Source organism: Homo sapiens, chromosome 1 (genome assembly GCF_000001405.40).
Source record: "Homo sapiens chromosome 1, GRCh38.p14 Primary Assembly".
Classification (NCBI taxonomy): Eukaryota; Metazoa; Chordata; class Mammalia; order Primates; family Hominidae; genus Homo; species Homo sapiens.
Genome location: NC_000001.11, coordinates 196,644,035 through 196,657,722, shown reverse-complemented (window position 1 = coordinate 196,657,722; position 13,688 = coordinate 196,644,035). Strand labels below are relative to the sequence as shown.

General features: G+C 32.6%; 1 protein-coding gene across 2 annotated transcripts in view; it reads right to left on the bottom strand.

Annotated features, from left to right (window-relative positions):
* Positions 1-5,680, bottom strand: part of CFH (complement factor H) — a 95,462-nt gene extending 89,782 nt beyond the window's left edge. For both annotated transcript variants that reach the window (NM_000186.4, NM_001014975.3), the window contains exon 1: positions 5,548-5,680. In NM_000186.4, the coding sequence (NP_000177.2) occupies positions 5,548-5,605 (58 nt within the window). In that variant the 5' untranslated portion in view covers positions 5,606-5,680. The remainder of the gene's footprint in view (positions 1-5,547) is intronic.

Below are 13,688 nucleotides of genomic sequence, written 5' to 3'. Positions count from 1 at the left end.
ACAAAATCAATTTGGAAAAAAATAAAGCAAATGAACAAAACAGAAATAGCAAAAATAGGTATTTTGCATTAAATTTCTTTCTTATCTTCTCACTGATCTATAGTAATACTATTTATTCAATAATCCTTTGGCTTTGGTATACACAGGGGATATATATTCCAGGACTCCCACACAGGCCAAAATCTGCACATACTTAAATTCTACATTTGGCTCTCTGGAAACCGCATGTACGAAAAGTCAGTTTTTCCTATGCTTAAGTTTTGCAACCCACCAATACTGTATTTTTGACCCAGGTTTAGTTGAAACAAATTCACATAGTAAGCAGACCCCTGAAGTTCAAGCACATATTGGTCAAGGGTCAATTCTATATGCATATATACGATATGATCTAATTAGCTTTTCAAAATAAGAAATATTCAAATTATTTTATAAATAACATGAGAATAAAGATCATTTCAGAAGTAACATATATACCTTTGTAAACAGAGTAAAGAATTGTTTAAAGAAACAAACTCTAGAGACAAAGCAGAATAGAGATTATGTCACACTTAATAGGCATTTGAGAAAGAAAAAGAAAAAAGAAAAGAAAAAAATTTAGCTAGGTGTGGGAGGCTGAGGCAGGAGGATTGCTTGAGCCCAGGTGTTGGAAGCTGCAGTGAACTATGATCGCACCACTGCACTCCAGCGTGGGCACTCCAGCCTCAGGCAACAAAGCGAGATCCTGTCTCAAAACAAACAAACAAACAAACAAACAACTTAACAGTGAAAAGAGCAAGAAGAAAATTCCAGAACCATAAAAAGCAGATAGGAGAATAGACGATAGTCACATGAAGTTGGATAGAATAACAAGTATGTCATAATTAGAGATAAAACAAGATACTATCAGAACATGGGTTGAAATTCCACAACTTTCTTGAAATGTGTATTTGAATAGCTAATTTCTAATGCCAGTTATTGTTCCAGTCACAAAAAACGAACTCAGCCACAAAGAGACAGTACAATTAGGACCCTGAAAATAGAGAAAAAAAAAAAAAAACGCAACACACATTGTACCAAGTATTACTAAGTAGTACTTGTGGAAGTTAAAGTGATGGAAAAATGAATGAGCGAAAGAACAGATGAGTAACAATGAAACTATCTGGAAGCCTTTCCATTATATCTGTAGATTATGGACAGCCTGTGGAAAAAGCGTAGTAGACAGTAGTGACTAGAAAATATAAGAGAAGACAAGGTGATAACTGTTTAGTGCACTTAAAACTCTGTTGCAAGAACCCAGGAAACTCTAACATTTGTAATTCCATTGTACATCTGACCTATGTGTCCTAAGCTTAAATTTATGTTACAGTTCAGGAGTTTCTGAAAGAATATTGCTTTTTCCTTTTCTTTCTTTCTTTCTTTCTTTTTTTTTTTTTTCTTTTTGAGATGGAATCTCCCTCTGTCGCCCAAGCTGAAGGGCAATGGCATGATCTCAGCTCACTGCAACCTCCGCCTCCCTGATTCAAGCAATTCTCCTGCCTCAGCCTCCTGAGTAGCTGAGATTACAGGCACGCGCCACCACGCCTGGCTAATTTTTGTATTTTTAGTAGAGATGGGGTTTCACCATTTTGGTCAGGCTGGTCTCGAACTCCTGACATGGTGATCCACCCACCTGGGCCTCCCAAAGTGTTGGGATTACAGGTGTGAGCCACCATGCCCGGCCTGGAAGAATAATCACTTTTCTATCTATTACATTTCCAGTTAACAAGGTTTATGAAAAACTTGGCTAAGTTAAAATGTCAGAAGAAATAAAAGTGTTCTGTCAAATGTTTTTTCTTTCCTTTTTATTGTTTCATTTTTTGATGTTCAGTTACTTTATTTCCTCTGAGCTATCTTTTTATGACTCCTTATAATTTTAAGCTAAAATGCAATACTTTTTTGTCAATTACATCATCCCCTTTCCATGTACTATGGTTTTGTGAAGAAATGGGTAAAGTACACGTTAGTTAACTGAGCACGGGATAGATTGGGTGGCAGAATCTCAAAGGCCTAGGCAGGTGGGGGATGGTGTGTGTGGGGAGGAGGAGAAGGCATAACTGGGAAGAATGAAAAGTGGCAAAAGACTGCAGAATAAACAATCGAGGATTAAGCAAATAAAAGTGGGTCAATGTAGACTGGCTCAGATCTTAGAAACCAAAGGCCACACATGAAGAACATTTACCAATCTGCTTTTGAACTTATATTTGGGAACTTACTTCTACCTAAGAATAATTTTAGTTAGCAATACTTAGATATTTCATTTTTAGTTTAAATTATATGTAGGCAAAAGAGTAGCATATGCATTCCCAGGATATGCCTAAATTTAAAATAAGCAAAGCTTGCCTTGGCAGACGTCTCAGGCTCGTGCCATTTCTGTGGGCATTTTCTCTACCCCTTCTCTTATAGCACTCACTATAGCACTTCAACCAGCAGATCTGTCCTACCTGGGAAAACCCCATCTTCCAGAATCACTTTGTTCTATTCTTATCCTCATCAACATCCATTTCTACCCTCCCCCGCCCACTGAAATTGTTTCAGGGAAGTTGTCAGATGATAATAATTCAAAGTAAATTATGAATAATACTAAATTTAACTATCCTAAAATATGTATTCAGTGTATTTGTCATTCCATGTAAATGACAGATTGGTTGAAATTATAGTAATATTAATATCAACACGTAAAGTATTTTAGGAGGAGATGAGATATTGAAGCCAATTGGGCCATCGCACAATTTAAATCACACCATATAGATAAATACACATACTACTATCTCTGAAAATATGGGGGTTTGGGGGAGCAAAGGGGAATTCTTATTTATCACACTGAAATTCAAACATACAATTTAGGATTTTAGACCACTATTCTCCTTTCTCTGACTGTAATGGAATCCATCAATCTCTGATCTATAAAGTCTTCTGGGACCTGAAATAACGTTTCTGCACTCTAAATCTCCAGGATTAAAAAACATGTCTCCCAAACAACACAGCCAGTATTTACTTGAACATGTTTCAGTAGAGTTTTAATTTATTCACTTTAATCATCTTGGAATTTCTGGGCTGTGGCCTAATTTCATATAGTACACAATTGTTAGACCCTAAATCTAAAAAATCTGCTTGGTCATAATATATTCAAAACCTTGGTCATACTATATTTCAAAAAGGTGAAATTAGGTGGTACGATTGAGAAACTGTTATTTTAAACTTTGTCCTGTAAATCTGACCCAATTCTTAGTAGCCTGCAGTGACCCCCTGAGCCAGACTGTTAAAACAAGGAGGCAATTAACGTTCCTACACAATTGGAAATGTTATTGTAGACAATATATTGCATTAGAAAGGTTCTATGTAGTACCCAATATATTAAAAAAAGAAAACAAATAGAAAGCTGAAATTACAAATTATTCCTGCTGGCTATAATTCTTTCTTAGTAATGAATAGTGTTTTTTTTGAAGAAAGTTCACTCTTAACAGAGCAGAAGTAATGCTAAAATGTTATGCTGTTGAATAAAGCAGATTGTGATAGTATTCAAACTATCTTCTCAATTTGGTATTCAGTATTCAATGTGGAAAATATAAACAGAAGCAAATATTGAAATATATGTGAGTATTTTTCATGATCAAAGCTACTCTGTTAAGTAAAAATTTTTTAGATATGGTAGATTAATAGAACTGATGGACATCTCGAACTAGTTTAGTTTCAGAGAGTATTTGGGAAACAAGGAATAAATTAGGAGTCTGATATCCACTGAAAATTCATGTAGTTTTTCTCCATTGGCTTTTGCATTACATGTGCTTTTATGAAAATTATGAGGCTGGCCTAAGCATTGCTTTAAATACAAAGTTGTGCTTTATCTTTTAGGAAATAATCAGATTTATATCATTTTCACCATAACATATATAGTGCCGATGTTCAATTCACCAGTAGAAACTGATACCACATTTAAACACACATTGATGAAAAATAAAATAAAAGTGAAACAAGTCAGCAATAATCAATTATGTAAATAAGATGTTTAAATCACTATTGTTTAATTATCACATATACTTTGATGTACTCTATTTTAATAATATTTCAAATTCAACTTTTTAATAACTTAAACTGTTTATTAAACTTGCCATTGATTCTTGATTTTAAAGATTAGAAATAAAACAAATCTCCCTTATATGACAAATGGTATCTATGTAAAACTGGAGCAAACAGTATGTAGGTATGAAACGTTAGAAACATTCCCATAAATTTAGTAAGAAAAGACAGAAATATTTACACAAAGAAACAGAAAAAGATGTCTTTTACAATAGGTAATATTGACATTGTTCTGGAACTGTTTGTAAATACAAAAAGGTTTCATTTTAAAATACTAATTATAATATTTATATGTACAAGGAAATAATTGTTTTCTTCATTTAAAAAGTGGCTACATATAAAGTTTACAAGCCAAAGAACAAGCAATAACATTAGAAAATATAACTGAAAATAATTCAACCTTTCAAAAGGTATTAAACATATTTGAATATTTTTTAAATTACCAAAGTGTATAACTATAAGAATATATCTGCTTTTATTTTCTAGATTGGAAGACTGAAACAGAGATTTGTATTATTTGCTAATATTCTTCAGTTCCTAGAGGCTATGTAATGGTCACTCAATCAAAATTTCTTTACTAAGTGAAAAGATTTTAGAAATTATGAATAATATGTAATTCATTCAGTTTAAAAATGTTTACCAAATATCTATCACATAACTGGTTACCTATCAAAAACTAGGAAAGCAAACCTCCTCCAAGAATAAGCTTTTTAATCTATCAAGAAGCAGTGATATAATTAAATTTTATTATGAATCCAGAAATTGTCTTACTGAGGTCAGAAAAAAACTCCTACATTCATATTCACTACTCCAAAAGACTGCTCTTCAAGAATATATGTTATATACAACTACAGGAAAAAAATCTCTATTGAACAACTTAACTGTTACAAATATTGTATATTCAATTGGGTTTCAAATTTATATAATATTTTTATTCTGATAATACAAGTAATACTTGTCTACAAGAATTCTAAGGTCATGACAATATCAGTTGTAAATGATAAATGAATTTTTATTTAGGAAGAGTTAAAATCATATTTGAAATAAATCTAATCATTATGATTTGATGGCTTTTATTGACTATGTATATTCACATCCTTCTTAATGCTTTCACATAATACATTTTGGTTATACTCCTAAGCAAAAAAGTAAATTACATTTTATGATAATTACAAGGGAAATGATTATTCCAGATCATAGTTTTTCAGAAATGTTTATTAAAACATTTTATTCTATTTTATATTAAATATAATTATGATGAATATTTAGATATACCATTCAAATAAGGTTCTTACATTTTTTAAACTCAACAATGTCAAAAGCCACTCAATTGTCAAGTTACAGAATACTTAAGCACATTTTCTAAATCAAATTTTTATTACTCCTGTGAAAAGCATCATTAGCAAATGTTTCATAATACAGTTTTCAGAAAAGAGTCTCTTTTAATCTTACCTTCTGCTACACAAATAGCCCATAACATAAGGCAAATAATCTTTGCTAGAAGTCTCATTTTTTGGATCTTTTAAGAGGACATTTACCAGCTAACTCTGTTCACAACGTCCAGTTCTCCTCTTCCAAGAATTGTGATTAGTGCAGGAAAGAACTTGCTGCAAAAGGAAGTTGAAACTAGATGCTCCGCCTATCAGAAACTTTTGCAAAGTAAATAAAAAATCAACCACAAGCCACAAGCCCAGAAATGCCAGAAGTTAAACCCAATTCTCACTGCACTCCCACTAAATGTTAATGCTGTGACCGGCTCTTGGACTTTTTCTTATTAAGCTAGGGAAATTCTCCGTTGGAAAATGTTCATGTTCTTGGTATGTGCAAATCAGCAGCTGGTGATATCCTCTGGATTTCATAAACCCTTCAATTATTCAAACTCTATTCGGGTCTATTGTGTATAAACCTCAGAACAGGAAATAAGAGAAACTTTAAAAGAAATCACATACAAAACTTTGGTTTAGGCAATGTTTTCACAATCAGCACCCAGACAATGTGTACAAACTTTGCCAAGAATGCAGTGCTTGATGAATTTGGGGGTCTGCTTTTCTAGCAATTTATGAAATTAGTTTTCTAAATACTTTTTGTATATGTGTATGAAGCAACTGGCTCACTCTCATTTGACGTAAATAGGTTTAATAATCCAAAAATCAACAAATTGAAATGCTGATTTTTAAAACTTTGTATTGTAGTGTAATATGTATAAGGAAAACATAAATCATATGCTGGATATTGAGAAGGTAAAGATACCTGTGAAACCACCACCAAGGTCAAAACACTGAACATTATTACATCCCAGAAAACCCCAGTACTCCTTTTCAGTCAATACGCCTCTCAACCCTCTCCCACACCCCCCACACACAGAGACCACGATTCTGATCTTCAAGAACATGGAATATATTTGTCTGGCTTTTGTACTTTGTATAATGAAAAAGAAGCAGTTTATTCTTATGTTTAGAGTTTTTCACCAAAAATTGTGTTTGGACCATTCAAACACATTGTTAGATGTAGTTACAGATAGTTCATTCTTATTGCGATTTAATACTCCACTTTTTGAATAGTTCACATTTTATTTATCTGTGTGCCTGTTAGTGAGCATTTGAGCAGATTTTAGTTTGGAGCTGGTATGAATAGTGCTGCTATGGGCCTTATATTATGAGGTTTTTGGTAAACACAATCCACATTTCTGGTAAGTGCATACTTGGTAGTGAAACACTGGGACATAATTTATGTTTAGGTGTAATGGATAAAATTAGACAATTTTCCAAATGGATTATAACACTTGACATCACTTGACATTTCTATCAGCAGTGTCCAAGTTGCTCCATACCCTCAGAGATACTTGGTAATTTTAATCCTTGTAATTTTAGCTTTTCTGGTAACACAAAGCAATAATTCTCCGTGGTTATAATATGAATTTTCCTGATGACTAATTGAAATGTGAGAGATCCCTGATTCCCCTTGAAGGACATGCAACAGGTGTGCGGCTTGCCAGTTAGGTCGCCCTGCAGCTCAAACCCCTTACGGGGAGGGGGAGCACACAGATGCACCGGTGCGGGAACCGGAGTGAGCGCTTTCGGGCTCTGGCCTCACAGCAGCATCTAGGGGTGGGTGTCTGCGATTTCCGAAGCCCAAGTGGGCGTATGTTACAGTGTGCTCCTTTAGCTTTGCCATCTGCAAATGGTTTATGTGTTAATCAGCTCAACAAACCCTCTTCCTTATCTCATGGGTAGTGGGACAGTGAAATAGCCCTCTATATCCCCAGCTGTTGCCCAGTGTCCCAAAAGAATCGGATCACACGGGGGCTCGAGGGATGAGGGCAACTTTTTATTGAGTGGTGGAGGTGGCTGTCAGCAAGATGGAGTGGGAAGGTGACCTTCGCCCAGTGTCAGGCCTCCCAGTGGCCAGACTCTTCTCCACCCGTCCCTGGCCAAACTCCCCTCGGAGTCCAGATGTCCCTCCTCTCTTTCTCTGCTGTGTCATTCTGCCATCGCAGGCCTGTTTGTCGGCTTGCCTCTCCGTCTCCTCACTTGTAGGTCTCTTCTGGAGCTTGGAGTTTGGGATTTATATGGGGGTACGACAGCGGGGCATGGCGGGCCAAAAGGCAACTTTTTGGGTGTGAAACCTGAAATGCCTGTCCTCATTTAGGGCCACAGGTCTTCAGGCTTGAGGGTGGGGCCTTTGCTTGGGGACCACCCTCTTCTACCCAGTATTTCCCTGTCTCCTGCCCTTAACATGAAGTTGAGAAACTTTCCTGTGGTAACTGGTCATTTAGATACCCTCTTTGGTAAAGGTTCTATTCAAATCCTTTGCATATTTTTTTCTTATTGAGTTGTTTGTCTTTGACTTATTGGAGTGTAGGAACTGTTTATATATAATTACTTATATATTCTAGATATGAAAATAATCTTATTAATATGTATTATAAATACCTTCTTCCAGTCTGTGGGTTTTCTTTCTATTCAGTATTACATGTCTTTTATAATAATAAAAAGAATTCCTTAATTTTAAAATAGAGCAAATTTTCAATTTTTTTCTATGACTAGTGCATTATGTGTCCTATTTAATGAAAGCTTGCCTAGTCCTAGAACACAATGCTTTTCTTCTAAAAGAATTATTTTATCTTTCACATTTAAGACCTTTAGAACAACTGTAATTGTCTTTTGTGTATAGCATAATAAAAAGCTCCAGATGCATTTTTAAAATAGAGATATCCAATTGTTATAGCATTATTCAACGAAAGTATCATTCTTTCCTCTGTACTGACATGCTTTCACCTTTGTCATAAGTCAGGTGCTGGATATGTGTGGGTCTATATCACCAAGCTCTTCTTACTGTAATAGTTTATTTTTAAAACTTTTCTAAAGTGTAAATTTCTGGGAACTTTGGCTTTCTAGTTATCTTTTAAATTGATTTCTTTTTTAATTTCATATTCTAAATAATTACACTGTTTTAAAATTTGATGAGTCTTTCTTTATGGCCCATTATAGTCAAAATTCTACCTATGTCAGTAGGTCAAGTTTGTAATTTGTTAAAATCTTTTGTATTTTTATTATGTTTTTGTCTGATTATTCCATCAGATATTGAAAGGGTGTATTACATCTCCCATTATAAATGTGGATTTGTGTATTTCCCTGTTTAATGCTGTGAATCTTTATATATTTTAGGGCTATGATGATGCTTGCATACGTATTTAGAATTGTGATATCCTTCTTTTGCATTGGTCATTTTCTCATATTAAATGGCCCACCCTAACTCTAATTTTGCTTCCAATGTGAATTTTACATTTTATTTTATTTTTATTTTTATTTTTGTAATAAAAATATAAGGAATAAGAGTTAGACTTAGTCATTTGTTCTGAGAAAAATAAGAAATAAAATAGCATGGATATATGAATAATCAAGCAAATTCGAATTCTGAACTATCATTCTGAAGTTTAATTTGATTTAACTGATAACACATATGTTGACATACTAGATCATTTAAACTTCTTCTTTATTCCTTCCTTAGTTTTATCTGTTTGAGTATGAATCCAAACATTTTACCTGGGGCTTAAATTTCCAATAGTGGTTTCTATTCTAATAGCAATATTATCACTTGGAGAGTATTCCAGAAACTTACTAAGATTAATATTATTGAGTGTTAATTATATACCAGGCACAGATCTAAGCACATTTATTCAATACTTAATGCAACACAATGAAATGGGAGACTATTACTCTTTCAAAGGTATAGATGACTGAACTGAACCACAGAACATTTTAGCAACTCCCTTAAGGTCACAAGACATTGCTGGAGCCAGGTATCAAATCCAGTGGTCTGTGTTTAAAATATGTGTTTAAAAATATAGTAAAATATTCACATATGTACTCTAGTGTATGCTTCACATTTATTTATTTTACAATTATGCATATACTGTAAAAGTATTGAAGGTACACACACACATATATATGTTTGTGGATAATTTAAAGTACATACAGGAATGATTTTGCTATACAAATCTTCACCTAATTTGCAATTGTTGAATGTAAAATGCCACTCTACTATCCAAGTAGAAATAATCCTCTTGAATTAATTTCAACAAATATCTTTCAGATGTATTATTTTTACTATTTTTTCTTTATCCTACCTTTTTTCAAAGACTGATGGCTAACGTCAATTGAGTGTTTTTGTTTCCCTTTTTTCATCAATACTTTTCAAAACTACAAAAGTCTATTATAAAGAAATTCAGAACATAAGAAAATTAGCAACATATTATGCCTTAAACTCATAAAATTATTATGTAGTATTAGATTACCATTAGAAAGACCAGATAGTAAATAGTTAACTATTAATACTAAGATTAAACATGAAATGGATCCAATTTATTTTCAATATTCATGTTGGCACATTCTCAGCAAATACATACTATGTATATTTGGACATTAAAAATTTAGAAGAGTAAGGATATAAATTTGTATTAGAGAAAAATCCATATTTAAAAAATTAGAAATAGTTAATATCTATGCTAAGTAACAAATGACTGTTATGATTAAAATTTTCGAAGGAAGTTTACAAGAAAGAGAAATTACTGAACACTGGTTTTGATCAGGGATGATTTTAAGAACACTTGGATATTACACTGTAGTTTAAGGGAAGAGTACCACTGAGACTGTGAAGAATAGGAAAGTGTGGGGACTAATCTAGAATTAATGAGAAGACTCACATTGGAGCAGTGGTTTTGCACAAGGAAATTGTGGAAGAAGTAAAAGGAGCTTTAAATGAGGAATGGTTTGAATTCCAGATCAAAAACTTGCAAATTATTTTACAGGCAATAAAGAATCTTTGATAGATCTAATTGAGGAAGAAATGTAAGTCATGCATTATTTAAGTAATGGTGCTTTGGCGGTTGTATTAAAATAGATGGAGGAAAAAGGACTCAGAGAAATGACAAATTAAATAAATTACTGAATGAATTCATAATACAACTATTACACAGCATCTCAATGTAAAGAAAAAGGGTAAAAACTAATATTTATAACAGAGCTTGATTTTTCTATGAAGCTAATGAAGTCTAAGCTTCAGGGCTCCTAATTTGAACAGACACCATCAAGGACCTGAGCTGGCCCTTAATAACGTTTCTGCATGGTCATCTATTTTTGTAAAAAATTGAAGAGAATTAATCTCTTAATTGCAAGAGAATGAACGGCTGTCTCTCTTATTCTATGCTGATTTCCCCTTCATTGCATTTCCACTGATTCAGTTGACATTACAGTTTCAGGCATTTGAAGGATGCAAGAAAAAGTTACACATAGAATGCTATTAGTTTGAGATTTATGTGGTATATTTTACAGTCTCAATTAAATATAATTTGATAACTGATGGTCCTCCAAGTGTAAGAATGGCTTCCAGGAATACTCCTACCACCCCTGTGCCAAATCAATTTGCATCATAACACAAAACTTCAGTGTCTGAAGACAGCACATATGAATATGCCCGACACCAGAAGTCTATGTGTAGTGAAGGAGAAACAAGATTAAAAAGTATAAAGACTATGATCAGCTGTGTAAAATTTTAAGTGGATGATTCCATTCTCATTGATTCTTCTCCTAGTAAAAATGAAAACTTGCTCAAGTCATTCACAATATATTGGCATCAATAACAATACCATAAAATTTACAACGCACCTTTGAAATGAAGACATTGAGGTCAAACTAGTTTTCAATGTTTCAATTTAAAGAACATTTAATATTAATTATATCATTAGAACTCTTTTAATGTCCTGAAACCTTGGAGCTTATTATGTCAGGGAAATCTGACAGGATTTTTTCCGAAATTTGATGACAATCTTAAAAATGTTTAGACATAAGTGGTGAACTTGAAATGACTTCAAATATTTCCACATAACAAGAAACAAATTTAAATCAAACATACTAAAAGAAAGACTGAATTATTTTTTCTATTTTATGTACACTGAAAATATTATAAAATGGTGTCATATGAAGGAAAAGTCAAAAAAGTATTCAACAAAAACGTAGAAATTCAAGGTAACAAAGACTTTATCACACAATGACTATACCTACTATATTTTGTGTTTCTATGATATTTCATTGTGGTTTTAATTTGCATTTCCCTAATAGTTATTGATGTTGAGTATTTTTTTCATGAACCTGCTAGTTATTTGTATGTTTTCTTTTGAGAAATGTCTGATCAGTTCCTTTGCCCATTTTTAAATTATGTTATTTGTTTTCTTGCTATTGAGTTGTTTAGAGTTCCTTATATATTTTGGACATTAACTCCTTATCAAGTGTATGGTTTACAAATGTTTTCTCCCATTCCATAGGCTTTCTCTTCATTCTGTTATTTGTTTCCATAGCTGTACAGAAGCTCTTTAGTTTGATGAAATCCCATTTGTCTATTTTCACTTTTGTTGCCTGTGCTTTCAGAGACACTAAAAAAATAAAAATAAAAATAAATTGCAATATTGTGGAGATTTTAACTCATTTCTTCTAGTAATTTTACAGTTTTTTGTCTTTAATCCATTTTGAGTTGATTTTTGTATCTAGTGTAAGATAAAGATCCAATTTAATCCTTCTGCATACAGATACCCAATTTTCCCAATACAATTTGTTGATGAGTCTGTCCTTTCTTCATTGTGTGTTCTTGGCACCTTTATTGAAAATCAATTGGCCGTAAATGCATGGGTTTATTTCTGGGCTTTCTATCTTGTTTCGTTGATAAATATGTTTGTTTCTATGCCAGCACCATGTTGTTTTGATTACAATAGTTTTATAATAAATTTTGAAATCAAGGAGTATGATGCCTCCACCTTTATTTTTTCTATTCAAAATTGTTTTGATTATTTGGGAACTTTTGTGTTTCCATATGAATTACTCTGGGCTTGTCATATATGGTGCTTATTGTGTTGAGGTACATTTCTTCTATACTTAGTCGGTTGGAATTTTTATCATGAAAAGATATTGAATTTTGTCAGATAGTTTTTCTGTATTTATTGAGATGATCATCTGGTTTTTGTCCTTCATTCTGTTATATTGGTATATCAGACGTACTGATTTGCATATGTTGCAACATCCTTGCATCCCAGAGATAAATCCCACTTGATCATGGTGGATGATTCTTTCAATGTGTTGTTGAATTCAGTTTGCTAATATATTGTTGAGGGTTTTCGTGCCTATGTGATGAGAGATACTGGCCTGTAATTTTCATTTCTTGTAGTGTCTTTGGCTGGTTTTGGTATCAAAATAATATTGACTTCATAGAATGATGTTAGAAGTACTTCTTCCACTTCAATTCTTTTAAAAAGTTTAAGAAAGATCGATATTAGTTCTTCTTAAAAGTTTGGTAGAATTTAGCTGTAAAACCATACAGCTTTTGGCTTTTCTTTGACAGGAAACTTTTTTTGATTCAATCATTTTATTTGTTATTGATCTATTCAGATTTCTATTATTTAATGATTCAGGCTTGGTAGATTGTATATGTCTAGGTTGCATGTGGATGTGTCTTGATATGTTGTATGTGTATGCATGTAGAAATTTATACATTTCTTCTAGGTTAACCAAATTATTGGTGTATGATTCTTCATAGTTGTCTCACAACTTTTTATTTCTGTGGTATCAATTGTTAGGTCTCCTCTTTCATTTATGATTTTATTTATTTCATTCTCCTTTTTAAATGTAGCTAAATATTATTATCTTTTCAAAAAATCAACTTTTTCATTGATTTTTTCTGACTATTTTATTTTTCTGCTCTGTTCTTTGTTATTTCCTTCCTTTTGCTAGGTTTGAACTTTGTTCTTCTCTCAGTTCCTTGAATTTTACATAGTTCATTTGAGATCTTTTTTTAATATAGACATTTGTTGTTATATATTTTCTATGAAGAACTTTCCACTTATAACTTTTTTCGCTGCATCCCGTGAGTTTTGCAATGTAGTTTTTTCATTTTTATCCTGTATTTTTTATTTTCATTTTGATTTCTTCTCTGACACATTGTTGAAGAGCATGGTGATTAATTCCCACATATTTGTAAATTTTTCATGATTTCTCTTGTTATTGATTTCTAGTTTCATGTTACTGTGATTGGAAAAGATTGTTATG